General features: G+C 29.9%; 1 long non-coding RNA gene across 1 annotated transcript; it reads right to left on the bottom strand.

Annotated features, from left to right (window-relative positions):
• Positions 1-2090: 2090 nt before the first annotated feature.
• LOC112268106 (uncharacterized) lies at positions 2091-18423 on the bottom strand. The gene is made up of 3 exons (XR_002957486.2): positions 18261-18423; positions 10009-10126; positions 2091-5898 (listed from the first exon to the last, which is right to left on the bottom strand). It is a non-coding gene; the product is annotated as an uncharacterized LOC112268106 (long non-coding RNA).
• Between the last annotated feature and the right edge of the window lie 239 nt (positions 18424-18662).

Raw genomic sequence — 18662 nt, 5'->3', positions numbered from 1 at the left:
GGTATTACTAGATAATTAGTTAGAAATCCTTCCACAATCCAGCTCAGTTATTAAGGTGGGCCACTTTATTTATGACTTGGCTAATCATTACATAGTAAGGATATCCAAAAGAATATTCTCTAGTTAGAAATGTACAAAACCGCAATGGTTTCTTAAAGTTTGACTAGGCAGAGGCTGGCTTTAATGAAAGCTTAGTAATATATATATTTCATTTGAAAATTAAATGAATATTTTAAAAAGGCATCCTGGAAGTTACAGTATTATTTAGAATTGTATGTATTTGACTGAACATGAATTTTTCATAATGTGATTTTAAAAAGATGAAGATGCCTACTGCAAGTATCCAAATTGCTCCACTAGAATTTACATAGTGCTGCATGAAATGTTATGGCCTCACCTTTTGCATTAATACAGTATTTTCAAGGGTGTATGTCTGTAACTGAAAAAAAAAAGCACTTGGCATTTAAATTGCCTAATGCAAAGTATTTGAACAGCAATTTTAATTTTAAAGTTATATATCCTTTTTCACTTTTTTCACTAACAAATTGGATTAAATGCATAGTTAAGAAATGGTTAAGAAACACCCAAAATGAATTTACAGTTGGGTTGGATTTAGCAACTATAATCTGTTTGTGATGTTAAATTCTTTTCTGATATAAATCAAAGTCTAAAAAAACCCAAACTTTATGCTGTCAACAAAGATAATCTAACTTACGATGCACCTTAAGTATTTATTACATTGGTGACTATTACAAAGAACTATATGTTGCAATGTTTTAAAAAATTAAAAATCAAATGTAAGTTACTAGAAACATATTTCCAATCAATTTATAGGTTATTTCCTTCTGTCTTCTTCAAATATAAAGAAACCGGAACAACTCCAATTCTAGGAAAGTAATTACACATATCAAGACCTGCCAAAGAAATTCAAGGCAGGTAATAGTAGGTGAATATTACGGTGGAGAGAGAAAATCCTGGAGATGGATATTCAGCTCATGTACTAGGGTTAGATCAGCAGCTTTGGGTAGTTAAAAATAAAAGGAAACTCCTGAGGATACAACACATCTCAAGCCAAGTGATATTCACTCAATTTCTTTTCTTTTACTGATGTTTTCCCAGCCGCTATCCATTATTTCTAATGAAGATTTCTTTCTTCCCTAACCCACCACATAATATAATGTAGCTACCAACACGCAGTGGTTTTTACATCTAAAACAAATCCATGATCCATTTCTCTCTCCCCGCTCCCCGCCCCTCCTTCTTGTTGGTAGTGTTAGAAAGACACTGAGATAGGGTTAAATGTTTAATTTTCTTCTTTGCCTACCAGTCTTTCTTGGCATATAGACAGGGACTAGTAATGACACACACACACACATAAACACACACACACACACATTCAAGCTAAGCTCCTAATGCTCCTACTGACAGCAAACGGACAGACAAAAGCCATCTACACATCAGAAGGAAATTGCAAGGAAATATCATCACAGAAACTAGGCCCAGGGCTTTGCATTTCCAATCAGGACTTTTCCTGGGAACTATGAATGAAAAAATGGAATAGGCACTGGAAAGTGCCTGGCATGTACAGAATTCTAGGGTTGTTTGGAAACAACCTCAGAAATAGTCTCTCTTCCAATTTTTCTCTTTACTCTGCTTTTGTTGTTGTTGTTAACTTCATGTTGCCACCAATGGCTGTACCTTGCGCCAGCCCCAGGAGCCTGTGAAAGTGTGGGAGGTGAGAGAGGTTTCACAGGCAGCTATCTAGAGAATCTAAGTAAGGAGAGCAGGCAATTTCAAATGCAGCAGCAGAAAAATGCTTCAGTTCAAGAAACACTAAACTGTTCTGACTATTCTTAGTGGCTATTCCAAAGTAAGATCTTTGAGTGACTCAGATTATTTTAAATATCAGCTTGTATAATCTTAAGAAGTTCATAGATTAGTGTAGTTTTCAAAATAAATTATATAAATACGTAGCCATTTATAACCCAAACTTAACTATTTTTAAGAAGTTAGGGAAATGAAATAACAGAAGAGTTGACCAAAAAATAAAAAATGCAAACCAATTATTCTTGAATAATGGTAAGGCAAAATTCACTTATGAATGATATATTTTATATTACTCCCCAAAGAATTATTACAAGCTTTAGGAGTACTCAAAGCAACAAGGTTAAATGAAGAATAAATTTACCAATTTGCAAAATTTAATTTTATACACATACACAAATAAAACAATTTTTAACAAATTTAAAATTCATGGTCCACCAAATTATTTTTCATTATTTAACTCAATAGGAACTTTCAGATCAACACGTACATATTGTAAAAAATAGTTGACTCCACATTATGCAATATACTATAGCAAAGGAATATTAAAATAGTAGATAAGAAAGGGCACTGGAGTTTTGTAAAACAGGAAAAAAGAAGTCCTGTATTTTATACATTGAATATTTATCCACAATAGCATAATTTGTCTGAAAATAAAGTAATGATCTACAATTATATAACAAGGAGTATCTTGGGATATTTCAATAATTCAAACATTTATTTTTTAGAAAAGTGGTATAGCAAATGAGAATTATGCAACTAAATCACCATTCTAAGAATAAAATGTCAAAAATAATCCTACAATGACATACTTGAAATGTTTCATATCCAACAAGGCAAAACAAGTAGAAAAGGGAAACTAATTCACAATTAGAAGTCAATATTTTACATGGTTTTGCACTTTTGTCTTTATCTTAATTATGTGGCACCTAGTGTCAGATTACTTGTAAAAAGTATAAAAAAGGGGGCCAGGTGTGGTGGCTTATGCCTGTAATCCCAGCACTTCGGGAGTCCGAGGCGGGTGGATCATGAGGTCAGGAGTTCGATACCAGCCTGACCAACATGGTGAAACCTGTCTCTACTAAAGATACAAAAATTAGCCAGGTGTGGTAGCGCGTGCCTGTAATCCCAGCTACTTGGGAGGCTGAGGCAGGAGAATCACTAGAACCTGGGAGGCGGAGGTTGCAGTGAGTCGAGATTGCACCATTGCACTGAAGCCTGGGTGACAGGGCAAGACTCTGTCTCAAAAAAAAAAAAAAAAAGTATAAAAAAGGGAGAGATTAAAAAAAAATCTCTGTTTAAATTTAACCTGCATTGGCTATATTTGTACACTCAAAATCTCCATTTTTTTCTAGATGAAAACCATATTTTTGAAATATTAGTATATTTGACAATGAAATCTGAAGATGAGTGAGTATTGCTAACATCTTGCTTACTATCCCCTTAAGATGAAAACCGTATTCACTTGACAAAGCATAGCCTGCAATGGCAACATTAGTAAGCCACACTCTGTTCTGAAAACATGACAGACAGAGATGATATCTCACATGGCTTCTTGGCATCATTTTCTTCCAGTGATTGGTAAGATAAAAGGATTGCTAAAAGTATGTGCTGCTCCTTCCTTCTAATCTTCAACAGGTTCTTGTTGTGTACAATTTATAAGAAAAATGCTCATGATTGCGTACAAAATATGAAATAAAAAATACACAAATTGATAAAACGAGCAACCCTCCCTGCAAAATTTGTATAACACAACATGAACGAATGTATTATATCATAAAACACATGCTGAACAACGGAGACATTGTTTGCATCTTGCTTCTTCAGTTCTCTTATGTTTGCAAACACAAAAGATAAGTTTGCTGCACCAGTTTAAAATTGCTGGCCATGTGAATTCCTCTTTATTAGTTATGTACTGGAGTGTTTTAACATATGTTAAAGATAATAATGGTATTGAAATAGTGACACTATCAGAGTACTTAATCATTTTATCATATGTAGTTATATTATCTTACAGAAAATATATTTAATGCCAAACTTTGAATTTTCTTTTTAAAAATCCCAATCAGAAGACTAAAAACAATTATGTGGTTTTGATCACATTTTAAAATAATGAGTATAAAATCTGTTTATTTTAGAAGAGAAACACATTATAATATTATTATTGAAGAGCTATATTTTTACTTAAGAAACTTTAAATTAGAATTAAAAGGAATATTTTAAAAGAAAGAATTACTTGTTCATTAGAACACGGCTTTCACAAAACTTAATTATATTTATTGAAGTAGAAATAAAAGAATTATGTACCAATAAATGACTTAAAACTGAACAGTGGAATGCCAAAATACATTTTTTGCCCAAGCTCATAGTAATAATTATGTATATTAAGTAAATATACGTAATTATATACGTATAAATATATATACATAAAAATATACATTTTTAAATTATGCATATTAAGTAAATATACATAATTATTATATCAACCAATCAATGCCAAAAAACTGTGTATATTTTCTTTGCTTGTTTTTAGAACTTTTAACTAATATCAGCATAAACATAGCCACACATATGAAAAAATGCAACTGTTAGAAATGCACTCCATTTTTCTATTAATATCCCATAAGAAAAATGAAGCAAATGCAGTTAAAAACAATTTTTTTAAAGCTCTGATATCTAGTAGTTGGAAATAATTAGATTTGGTGGCTATATTATGTCTTCTTTAATGTTTTGATTAAATCCCCTATCAATGGACACTTTTTAACCAAGATGAAAAATATAAACCACAAAAAGGCAGGTGAGTTATTGTCTTGGAGGCCTACATTTTCTACTTGATTGGCAGGCTTCATCTTCCATGTAAGATGAATGAGTCAAAATACAGTATTTCTGTCTCTGGTGCTGAATTGGGTTTCCAGCTCAGCATCCCCTAATATCATTGCTGTCACATATCCTGTGACTCTGTAGCTAGAGGTACGTTCTATAGACTTGAAATCTTTTTTGATATCTGAGGCACCTTCATCATAATATTACTATCATCAAGCAGAATGTCATGAACAAATTAACAACTAGAAAAAATACATTTGCAGCAACATGAGTGTAACTTCTGTAATTAATAAACCTCGAGTTAAAATTAAATCCAAAAGAGAGAAGGAGACTGAAAGGGGAAGTATGATTTATCTACTTCAGTTTTCCTAGCATACATTAAAGCAAAGTCAGTGAATTCCTAGTTATGAACAATTAGAACAATGTAAGTATAACAAATTTTCAGAGCTCAAAGTAATGTAACCATTTAAAGAGAGGTCACAATGTACCGTGATAAAGCCTTTAACTGAATTGAATATTGTCAACATGTACAAAGATTTATAATCACTTTAAAATGTCTTTGATTTCCATATACAGACAAATGCCAAAATCCTTGTACAACAATTCCTCAAATAATATTTTATCATTCAACATCGTTTCATTACAAACTTGATGAAGGAAAAACAACCAACAAACAGAAAAACCCTGCAGGGACCACTGTCTGTGTGGGGTATGCAAGTTCTTCCTATGTTCTCATGGGTTTTCTCTAAGCACTCCAGTTTACTCTAGTATCCCAAAGATGTGCATGTTGGGTTCATCGGTGTGTCTACACTGTCCCAGTGTGAGTGAGTGTGGGTGTGTGTGAGTGCACCCTGCAATGGGACGATGTCTTGCCCATGGTTAGTCTTTTTTTTTTTTTTTTTTTTTTTTTTTTTTTTTTTAGAGTCTCACTCCCTCACCCAGGCTGGAGTGCAGTATCACGATCTCAGCTCACTGCAACCGCTGCCTCCGGGTTCAAGCTTCAGCCTCCCGAGTAGCTGGGATTACAGGCATGTACCACTACATCCAATTAATATTTGTATTTTTAGTGGAGATGAGGTTTCATCATGTTGGCCAGGCTAGTCTGGAACCCCTGACCTCAAGTGATTCACCAGCCTCTGCCTCCCAAAGTGCTGGGATTACAGGCGAGAGCCACGGCGCCTGGTCCCACGATTACTTCTTGCCTTGCACCCTGAGCTTCTGGGATAGGCTGCAGCCACTGGAGACCCTGAACTGAAATAATTGGGTAAAAAATAATTTTACTTGATTTTAATAATCATTCATATATATATGTATATATATATATTTCACATACATTTCAATGTTTAGTATTAGAAGTGTTTTGCTCTTTATTTAGAAATTTGGTGATGTTTTCGTGACCAGAAATATGCCCTAGGAACTTAACTCTTGTTTACATCATTAACCTATGGTAAAATTGCTTTCCTTATATGTTTTTTTTGCTTAGAGTCGCAGTTTCCAAGAGCCTTTCAATAACTTTGAGTGAGTATTTACTCTATTTACTTTAGTTTCCAACCCCTTCTGGCTTGTTGCAATACAAGAGTTACCAGATAAACATGCTATGTTACATACAGTGCATGAAAGGAATAGGACAATCTAGATACAGAGATAAATATTTTAACATTCCTGAATCACATATAATTATAGTAATTGACGCTGTAATAATATGTCATGAAATGTAGTCCAACAATAATGTAAAAATGTTAATATGGATCATGTGAATAATCACTATATAGGAACGTTTGTACCAACATTCCATATCCAGAATAAATAAAAATTTAATGAGAAAAATGTGAGACTCCAAGCGTCTAATCCTAGTTAATACACAATCTCATTCCAGCATTTCAGCTATAAATCAATAGAGATACTCAGTCAAAATATAAGGATATACATTTTTTACGACTGAATAAATATTTGGTAAAAGAAATGACTTTCATTTTTTAATAGAGATTTTCTTTATAGCACCATAGGTCCAGTGTAACAGTTCCAGATGATAACAACTACAAAGAGTTTTATTACAGAATGACTTCTAGATGAAAAATGTGGCAACAACAATAACTTAACTCATTTCAAGAAAATGAGATCAAATGGAATTTTGTCCAGTACTTCTAATATTCATTATACACGTCTAACAACAACGTTGAGGCAGATTATAGTGTAGTGAGATTAAGAATTTGTTTAAAATTATTTACCCAAAATTCCTAGAAGATTATCATGTTTATTTATTTACTACATGACAGATACTAAGTTCAGAACTCCTTAAAGCTAACATAAGATTTATTATTTTGGCCAGACACAGTGGCACATGCCTGTAATTTCAGCACTTTGGGAGGCCGCGGCAGGTGGATCACCTGAAGTCAGGAGTTCAAGACCAGCCTGGCCAACATGGTGAAACCCCGTCTCTACTAAAAATACAAAAATTAGCCGGGCATGGTGGTGGGCACCTGTAATCCCAGCTACTTGGGAGGCTGAGGCAGGAGAATTACTTGAACTCAGGAGGTGGGGGCTGTGGTGAGCAGAAATTGCACCACTGCACTCCAGCCTGGATAACAGAGCAAGACTCTGTCTTGAAAAAAAAAAAAAAAAATATATATATATATATATATATATATATATATATACACACACACACCTATATATAGATATATAGATAATTTTATAAATTGTCTTAGTTTGGTAATACCTACAATCTTAGTTTCCTTTGCTTCACTGTAACCTCATTTCATCTGCATGGGAAATTTCTTGTTTTATAGAAAGATTTTCAAATGGAAAAGAATCTTTATTTGTAGTACATGCAATAGAGAGCAAAATTAAACCAAACATCACTGTTCCTATTATGATGGTTACAAATTTTTCATAGCTATGGCCCAGAGTACACATGGAAGAGTATGAAAATTCATACTACTCTTGGTTACCATGTGAAAAACCCACACAAGTGTTTTTTTCTAATTATTTATAAATAAAAAACTACTTCTTTAAACTAATATTTTCTTCTTTCTCTGGTACTGGAAGTAATATTGCCTATAGTATTATTCATAATACATATAATGACTAAATTTTGATGTGATTTTACTTTAAGACATTCCAAATAGAAATTTAGCCATATAAAATTTGCGTTAAAGATGTACACATTATTCAATTTTAACAAAAATAATTTAAATTTCTGAAAATACACATGGAACTGTATTTTTCCAAGTCACTTTACAAAACTATTTATAATAGGATATAATATATTATGATGTAATATATTATCAATATGTAGAGCTTACTTTTTCACACAGTTGTCTAGATGTTATGTTGTCTATTTTTCAATTTAACAAACAAAAATGTAATTTCAACTATAAATGTGGGTACTCATGCACAAGAATATCCACATTCCCACTTAAAAAGACAGACACACTGATGTTCTCATGTTAGCACTATTCATAAAATCATGTTTCATGTATTAAAAAGAGATTCAAATTTTAGGAAAAAAAGCTATGTATTTTTCTTTTTAAAAGTATTTACTATGAATCAGCATATTATAAAACATCTTTAGTACCCAACATTATAATTGGTTTTGCAGTTCTAATTTAGAAAATTCATTGTTTAAATGACGTGTTTTTGATTGATTTTAGTTTAAATGTTATTTAAATGCTCAATGAAATAGCTACATTTAGTTTATTTATGAATTAGTCAACCTATTATTTTTATTTTATACAACAAATAATGATTTTGTTTAAAAATAATCAACAGAAATTCAAGTTAATTTTAAATAAATAAGTGTAAAACTGATTTGGTATGAAGAAATTAGAGAAAATAACAGGAAAAAAAGATCTTTCCTAAATTCAAAAAAATCTAATTTTCATTCTGATTATATTAGTTACTTTGAAAAGATGCTTAATATTTATTTTTCATTATTCCACATAAGTATAGTATTCTTAAATGTAATCTATATTTTATATTTATCATCAGATTGCTATTGAAATGCTTTGATAATATTAATATCTCATGAAACAAAACTATTTTCTATAGGTGTAGTTCTGCGAGCATACATTTTATAATGCAAACACAATATCAATGTATCTTAATGTATTAACATTATATATTCAATATAAAATTTATTCTTATTTTGGAAGGAAAATTATTACAAGAGTTTGTAAAATAAAAAAATAGGTATTTAAAGTACAAAGGTTTTTTAGTAGTATTCCAATATTTTTAATGGGCAAAAGAAGTGAAAACAGAACTTTGAAGTACATGAATCTTAAATATAATGTTAAGGAATTAAAAGATGTGGCTACAAAGTCAAACTCCTTCACAATCTCAAATTATACATTCTCCAAAGTATTCAAAGTGATGACAGTAAGTAAATACTTCATCATCTAAGTACTCATCAAGGTTAAAGTTTGGATAGAAAGAATGAAGAATATATATTTTGCTATCAAAATAGCTAAAAGACTTCTAAAATTGTGCTGTTTGGTGTTCATAAGTGAAACTCAAATATCTCTTTACTTATGCCTCCTTTCTTCTGATGTTATGTTTAACAAAACATGCAAATTGAAAGTTAAAATTATTTTATTTTACCTCAAATATGAATACAGCTAAAATTTTCATAGCAAATAAAATTTCCTAAATTATAATTGATGTATAAAAGCTTATAAAAATATGTTACTATATATTCAAAAAATACTGTATCCTTTAGTCATGGTGCCTTATGACAAAATGCAATCATATCTTAAAATATTTAAACTCTTCCACTGAAATATACGTGCAGTCAGCCCCAGAGAAAAATGTGTCCCTGTGTAGGCAACTGCCCTGAGGAATGTATTATTCCTTCTGGATTACTTTTTTCCCTCGAGGTAATATTGTCATTAAAAAGATGAACTGATTTTCTACTCCCAGGGGAAAATACATGGTGCCCAGAAAAGCTTTCTAAATAGATAAACACCTCACCAGACTTAAAAAAACCGGGATCATATTCGTTGAAAATGCCTGAAAATTTCACCAGCATCTCCATTAGGGCATACCCTGAACTTTAAAACAGTAATGTAAGTGCAGAGCAGCAACAATTACTTTTCTTATTATTTTTGAAAAATGTAACCAATTATACTATCAAAGCAAAATAAATAATTACAATTAAAGACTGGGAAATGAGTTTTATGCCAAAGTTCTCTAGTCCTATTTCCATTTTTTTCTTAACTATCTGAACTTAATTAAAACAAACATAGACTAAAAGGGAGCCATTTGGAAAATATTTTCTGTGTTTAGCATAAATATATTTAAATATCACTAGTAGCATCCCAATGGTTTTCCAAAAACTTTCATGCCAAAGTACTAAACACTCACCTGATATCCTTATCGACATTTGAGCCATCTTTGCAGTTTATGTCAAGATAAATGGCGTTACGATGGAGCACTCAAGAAGTTTTTGATATTCACTAAATTCACCTTGGTCTGCAGACATCTACAAGTACATATTTGTTAATCCATTAGGTGCTTACTGAATGCCAGGCACAATTCTAGAATATGGTGATAGATAAAACCATTATCCCACTATCTGTTTGTTTGTTTATATAGTAAATATTAACTGAAGCATTTCCTATTTTATTTACATTGTGTTTGGCCAATTAATTAGGAAGAAAAATTTGTGGTCAAAATAATTCTGGTTTAATTGTCTTGCATGGAATGGAAACAACATTTGTAAAGAACAATGCAAATGTTGTAAATTGTAAAATGATTTTCACTAAGACCTTTTCATTAGGTGTGAGTACCAGCTTGCTGCACTTCTAAAATCTTTCAAGATATTAGCTTTAAAGTACTGAAGTTTCTGTTCATTAATAGAGAAGGTAATGATTTATTTATTATGTTTATAGTGGACTTGTCATTGCTACCATTTTAAATTTTAATCATTAGAATTCTCTATTTATAACCCTGTATAAAGGTTCCTCTAAGCATCTAAGGAGGATCTCAGATTGTCACTGAGACTAGTAAATAGCAGTAGTAATGATATTTGAAAATGTTAAAAATATAAATAGTTTTATTATTGGATTAACAGCCAAATTTATACCACAGCAGATAAAGGAAACTAGAACAACTTATATTATTAATCATTAGGTATAAGAGCAATTGCTAAATTTAGAATATTAAAATGGTGAGTGACATATTGCATATTTATTGTACCTTTTCCAATTAATTCTGCAAAGAAAGGCCAAAGATCTTTAGATATTGTAAGTATGTTCAGTATTGTTTGAATTAAAACTGGAACAATGGAAATTACCTCACACATAACTTCAAAATGTGTTAAAAGCAAATAAAATAAGCAAATAAAACTTATCTAATTTAGAAAGGTTACTCAATTTTTTGAGAAATAAATACTGATGATACATCTTATTAAATGTACTGAAAGCTCAATGTTATTTCAAAAGGTAAAAATATGTAAGAAAGTCAAGAAAACTAAACTAGTAAGTTCTTTCTTTTTCAAGGGTGTCATACTTTTAAAGTTGCCATTAATTATCTACAAACAATTATTTCATTTTGTAAAATAAAAGTTAATGGAGAAATTAAATGTTTTGAACTAATTATTTTACAAATATTAGACACATACGCAGTAAGAGAAAGATGTTTTCTCTAAAAGATATAATCATCCCTTTCATAGGTGCATAATGTAAATAACAGTAATAGTTAATTATCATGTTGCTGATTTTAGAGTCACAGTTGTCATACACCTAGTAGAGAAAACTTAAAATCTAAATTTCTTTCAGCTGTTCATAAACCAAGTTCATTGGATTCATTTTTACAATTGAAATTAAAGCAGAGACACAAAGAAAGTTGCCAAAGACACACCATCAATCTGTGGTGGACAAAGAAACTTAATTCGGAATAACAGAATCACCATTTTAATGTTTAGCCATTGGCTATCATTTGATAAAAATAACAGCAAATACTTCGCACCTCTTATTTTCTCATTTGAAGCACAACCTATACTTTCAGTGAGGCAAAAAGCTAAGATGATGACTAAACCAAATCAACAGTGAAAAAAAATCCAACTTATTATATATTTATATAGAAACATACATAATAGCAATATATAAAGCTAAGTAACATTTTGTTATAAAAAGGATAGAGGAAATAAAATCCAAAATTATTTTAGATAGTATTTCAGTTTTTTGTCTCAAGAAAAACAATCTTAAAAGGAAACAAACATATTTGGAGAGTTTGAGAATTTCATTACATTATCTTTTACTTCCTGTAGGTATATATCTATTTACAAACAACCTCTCATGGACACAGTAAGCAATGGTGAAGAATATATTACTTCTACTCATTATTTTGTTCAAAGACATTGAAAAAAAAATGGCCATTCTGTCTTCTCCCATTTAAAAAAGTTTTGGTCTTAATTCTATCGGATCAGATTTTCCAAATTATACCTGTCATCCTAAAAGTGATTCTCATATTTGATGTTTCACATATTTCCAATGAATTGGCCATTTACACTCTTGTCAAGTATATGAGCAGTTGAACAGTTTAGGAAAAGCTTCTGTGTATGCTGCAATTATAATTTCCCTTCTGTATTCACATACCTCTTAAATTACTGCTGCCACTTCCCTTATGATGTCCAGGGGCTGTGAGAGATAGTGCATTTTACAAAATCACCTAAACAGGAGTAATTTCATCTCTGGGAGACTCCAAGTCACTGTAAATGGTTAACTTTAACACATATATTTATATTTCAAATACAATATTAATATACAGCATACCAGCTCCCCCTTTTCATGTAAAATTATTCATTCTCGTGTTTATTATATTTGTTTTATTTCCTTAATATAAACCTACATAGTATTTACTACCTCGTATATCACATATAAAGCTTTGATAAACTCTGAGCTCCCCAAGAACAATATCTAAAAATCCATGATTATGATAGATACATTTTAATATTAGAGGAACAAATTTTATTTAATCATGATTGAAAGTTAAAATACACTTATGGTCTAGCTGGTAATGTAAAATTATTTGAAGTTTCTAGGTTAAGACAATATGGAAATATGGAAGCTATTCATCTAGCCTAAAATCATTTGAATTCAAAATTTTTTTTAAAGGAAATAAAGCTGATCTGATCAAATAAAACAGATTGTTCAGGAGTTACCACATGAGTCATCAGTCGGCAACCAAGTTTCTTAATGTTTGTAAGCAGGCAATAGTGGCATTTTGTAAACTATATTACCTACCCTGTCAACAAAAGTGTGTAATTTAAAATATACTAAAAAAGAAATTGCCACCTTTATGTTTTAGATGTTGTGTATTTAAAATTACTAATGAATCACAAATTCATAGTAACAATTTAAAATCCCCATCCCCTTATTCACACTAAGTCCTGCTTACATAGTTCTTGATTGCCATGTTAGAAATTGAGTCATATTTTTATTTTAATAATGTGGGGGATGTCATGAATTTGCCTTAGGATATTCTTAAAATTCTTTTGTTAGCAAAATAAAGAGATATATCACCTTCTTTTTTTTTTCTTTCAAAAAATAACAGAGAGGTAGGGGACAGTGGTAGAATGATTCAGTTGTGAGAATTAAAGGCAATGATAGAGACCATTTTCCATGTGTCTGACCTTGGGCACAGAGCTTCTAAATGAAGAGACTAGGCCAAAACCAATAATAGGACAACGGATGACTCAAGTACATGCTATGCAAACAAATACCTTCTCTGGGGTAAAAATTCTTAAAGGAAGATGAAATTTGTTGTTAAATTACAAGTCAAACATAGTGAAAGCCATATGAAATTAGTGATTTCCTAAAATGCTTACTTTTATAGAAAGACCCTCTTTAATTTTCTGTATATATATATAAATTATATATATAAAATCTTGGAGAGGATATTTAAAATTTATAATCTGGATACTCAATAATTATGGTTTAACATTCAAAAAACGAATTTCCAGTGAAATACTACATTTTCATCTAAGAATTAGGGATCTTTCATCATAATTGGGTAACAAATATATCATTATACTGATTGAATGGGTTTAAATGACAGTCTGGTGAATGATTTTGAATATTCTCTAAAATTAGTAATTTCTGGATCTCAATATTCTCATTTGGATGCACCCATATATATGCTCATGGTCACTAGCTTTAAAAAATTGGGATGATTATATAATTGAGGTATATTGTTTGAAAAAACATAATTATAACTTAACTAGTGGAAATTTATAGCTTCATATTTTAATATATGGTACCTAAATGCTAAACAAAAATAAAACTGTGAAGGAACCCTATTATGTGTATTGTATATCTTATGAAACTTTAGCAAGGGCAGATTTCAGCTATATAAAAAAAAATATATACCATTAACTTTATATTTTGAAGTGAAAATTTAAAGTAGATATTAAAACAGAGGATTTAAATAAATTTGATAGCTATAAGTCTTTCACTATTATTAGAATTTTCAGAGTGATACACCCTTTTGACTTTGGATGTTAATATAGCAAAAAATATTCTATGTTTATAAAGTTAAAAGGCATATTTTTTGTGTGGATAATTTATGTAAATATATTATTACAGGTGAGATATATTTATTGGTCAAGTTTTCATTTTTATATATCAATTTTTAAATTTAATATTTAAAACTGTAGTCTGCATATCACCGATGAACTTTTCATGCATGAAACATGCTAGTCAGAGTATTATAGTATCCTAAAAGAAATTTGCTAATCAGTTAACCTAGGATTACTGACACCCTTCAGATTTTGTTTCAATAGGCAGGTACTAAATTGAAAATATGCAGAAATTTTGGTTTCAATATCCATTATTATGTATTGTTTTTAATGAAGTATACAATAAGATTTTTGAAAAGTGTGTTAGTTGAGAATGCTAGAAATGATCACTAGTAGTAGAAATTAATTTGTCAGTAAAAATCTAAAATATGTACACTCCAGAACACCAAAAACCACAGAATTTTGCTGCTCGCATAAATATATATGAATATAAATATGATTAAATATTGAAGTATTACAATCAAGAAAGAATTGAACTTGTATGTTAATATCTTGAAAAAATTATTTAAATATACAAATCGCAAATAAGTTTGTCAATGTGGACCAGGTATAAATGAGTCTTCAAAATAAAGCCACAATGTCATCTGTGCATATGTTAAACTAAAATTAAAAACAACAAAAATGAAAAATATCCTTCAAAACAATGGTTCATAACTTCTACTTTTAGAAACATGAAATTTTAAAGTATATACATGTTTATTTTATAATAGAAATGTACAATATTTCTTCATGATTACTAATAAAGATGCCAAAAAAAAAAAAAAAAAAAAACCTCAGTGGAAGATTTCCATTCAACATATCTCTATGACTATTACTTGACTATTACTTTCTTGTATAAAATGACTCTACTAACATCTAATAAAAATGGATCTGACATACTTAGCATTGTGCAATATATCATAACATTTTGTTTAGATCTCTAAAAAATCAAATTATTTTATATTTGCATTACATCAACTTTCTATAAAATATTTCTATTTTAATCTTCAGAAATTATTTTAGGAAATAGTCTAAATCTCTCAAACTTGGAGTTAAATGTTGTTCTTTTAATACTAGTACAGTTTTTATAATGCTAGTACAATTAACACCAGAAGTATTTGACCTGTGCTAGTAAGCCATGGTCTGCTAAAACCGGAGGAAGAAAAGAAAAGTACTGTATTATTGTCACATTCAAAAATTTTACTGCATCAAATTTTCTGTCCCCAATCTAACATTCCTAAAACATTAAAATAAGAGTATAATTTGAAATCCTTGAAAATATTAAAATGTAAAAAAACTTGGGAAAAATGTGTGTGTAATAACTCCTTGATAATCCATCTATTTTTGTATGTCATATACATGCTACATATATTCATGGAAATATATATGGTTAGTCATAGAAAGGCATTACATTGAATTGAAATTAATAATTATAATGTACAGCTGCAATATCAATGGATATAAAGTTTATGAGGATATAGATGTTAGACAATTATTTTTAGGCACATGACTAATGTCTATCCAACTACTTTAATTTTATTCTCACATATTTATTTGCAATAGTGGAGAATCTCAAAGGGTTTGTAGAAACTTATGCATAAATAAAACTGTTAATATGGTACAGTTTATACTTTTGCAACATTTTATTCTCTTTGAAAATTAATTAATTAACTGTGCCTGGTTCTAGTATTTAAATCTGTTGCTTTGATGTTCCTAGTTCCTTTTTCTTAGTGTAAAATTTATTCTTAAAAGTAGTCATTCCAGGTATCTTGCCATGCCTGCAAATATCTTAAATTGGAGCCATCTGAAAAGTGCAAGAAGAGCACATTTCCAAATGAATTGACAGAATATTTGTGATTTGCTATGTTATCATTAATCTGGAGTCATGTGACTTTGGGAACCATCGATGGAACTCTTCAAATTAAATAGCCAGATTTTGGCATTTCAAACTAGGACTAAACTATGTTCACTCTTTCCCTTGCCTTATTGAAAAATAATGAAGAAAAAAGATAAAAAAGAGAAAGGAGGGAAGGAGCAGATGTAAGGAAACAAGAAATAATAGAATAGAAAAAGAAAATAATGAATATTAATTTGAATATTTTGCCAACAAAACAAGGTAGTAACACAAATATAACTAATACCTAAGGCCAGAAACTGCGATCTTGGATTAAATTCTTAAATGGTAACTTTTTTCACAGTACGTGTGGATGTTCTCATTACAAACTAGTTTGATTTTCTTACTAGTATTGAGGAAACAGTGGTGAGGAACAGACTTGAGTTCCCAGGAAATTTGTCAAAAATTTCCACTTTTCATGTGTAAAGGTGATAATCTTCACTAAACAGAAGACATGTTCCAAGTCGGCTATCTATGCTAAGGTGGTTTAACTTACAACTTCAATCAATAGTTTAGCTGTAAATGATTTTTTATATTAGCATTCAAATTATCTACATTTTCTTGGAATATGTTTATTTTTTCTTATATAATTTAAGTATTTACATTATAATCACATAGACATAGAAATAATATTTTGTAATATCTACCTCTAAATATATGAGATTTATGCAACATATTAAATCGAACAAGCACAAAGAGTAAGCTTAGTGTGCATCCAAATTTAATTGGTGCCTGAAACATTACATATTTTCTTCCTCAAAATTCTGTGAAGAGAATTTTCTTACTCCAGTCATATACTACTGATATGCCCATTCCAATTATCTACTCAGTGAGCAACTTAAATCAACAAAAATCAAATATTCAACACTATACAACCTATATTCTAATTTATGAGTTAATGTATTAGCAGGAAGACGTTGGTAGGAGAAAAATGATTCATTTTTTAATTCTGTGCAGTTTCATGATTCTGAGATGATAAAAAATTTTTCACATTTATGAAAGTCAGGATGAATTTACTTTTATTTTCTTAACACAGTGGGAAAATATAATATAAAAATTAAGGGGAACTTCTAAAAATCAATCTATAAATGTTATTTTGAAGATTAAAATAAAATATTGGACATCTTAGGAAGAGTAAGATAGAAATGAACCACCTAAAGGGAGTATATGTGACAAAATGATGTAAAATAATGCTGGTTTTACAATAAAATTTTGTAAATCTTTGAAAAATACATCACTAAACTTTCTTTGAAAGTTACTTATATTGCCCAGAACTAAGTCATTAATTTTATGTAATTCTTATCTTTTTATTTTATGCACCAATTAAGAAATAAAACTAAGTTACATGGAGGATTCCACTTTACATTTATATTTTATAATTTATAAAACTGTCATATCTATATATAATAAGGTTGAGGAAGTGATACTGACATTAAAAAAATAACTTCCTGCTGCTGTGAAGAATAATACCAATCTCAATTTTGAAGTCAAATGCTAGTATTTTTTTTTTCTTTTCTAATCTTGGATCTAATATAGAGGAGGTAGATGAAGAGCAAGCAATGCACTTTTCTTCATGATAATACCATGACATTATTAAGCTTATTCCTTTCCCCTTTGAAAAAAAAATTAGAAAGGAAAATGTTGCAAAGAATATGAACAGCTTACTGTACTTGGTCAATGTAGCATTACAATTTGTTTTTTTTTTAATCCTCCGGGAAACTGGTACCACCTGTTCAACCTGAATTCAAGTAGTTACTGTCAATTTTCTCATGGGTGAATGCTGCCTCTTTGTGGCAGAATGCCATGGAAATTGTTCTTTAAACACAAAGTTCATGAACAGCCCTTGATATTGTACAAATTCCAGGTGAAACTATGGGGAGATCCACCTATAGCAATGAAGCACATAATTGAAACATTTCTTATCCTTAAATTGTGTCTAAACTCACTAGAAAACCTTATTCAAAGATGACGAGCTCATATACACCATTTTGAGCATTTAGAATACTGATCAACTTTAGATAAGGAATCCATCATAACTGTTGAAGGTAGTTTTACACAAATTAAAAATATGAAAACTATGGAAAACTGTAGACTGAATAAATAATACTGATATGACAATTACATTGTATTAAGAGAAAAGTGAATATGCGATATATTACTTACCATGCTCCACGTAGTAGATGAATACTTCAGTAAGGAAAGAGTGTATATAATTGAAACTGCATTAATAAACACATTAAGCGACACATTTAGAAAATCATACTTCCCTGAACCAACAAAGGAATAAATTACTTATATATGTCATGTATGTTATATATATATATACTATATATAGTATATATATACTATATACTATATATATACTATATACTATATATATACTATATATACTATATATATACATATATACTATATATACTATATATATACTATATATATACTATATACTATATATATACTATATACTATATATACTATATACTATATATATACTATATACTTTACAATTTTGCTAATTAGGGGAAACACATTTTGTATTAGGAATAAAGTTTAGGAACTATTTCC

The sequence above is a fragment of the Homo sapiens genome, chromosome 13 (assembly GCF_000001405.40).
Source record: "Homo sapiens chromosome 13, GRCh38.p14 Primary Assembly".
NCBI classification, from domain to species: Eukaryota; Metazoa; Chordata; class Mammalia; order Primates; family Hominidae; genus Homo; species Homo sapiens.
The sequence above is the reverse complement of the archived record's forward strand: the minus strand, read 5'-3'. Positions and strand labels throughout refer to the sequence as shown.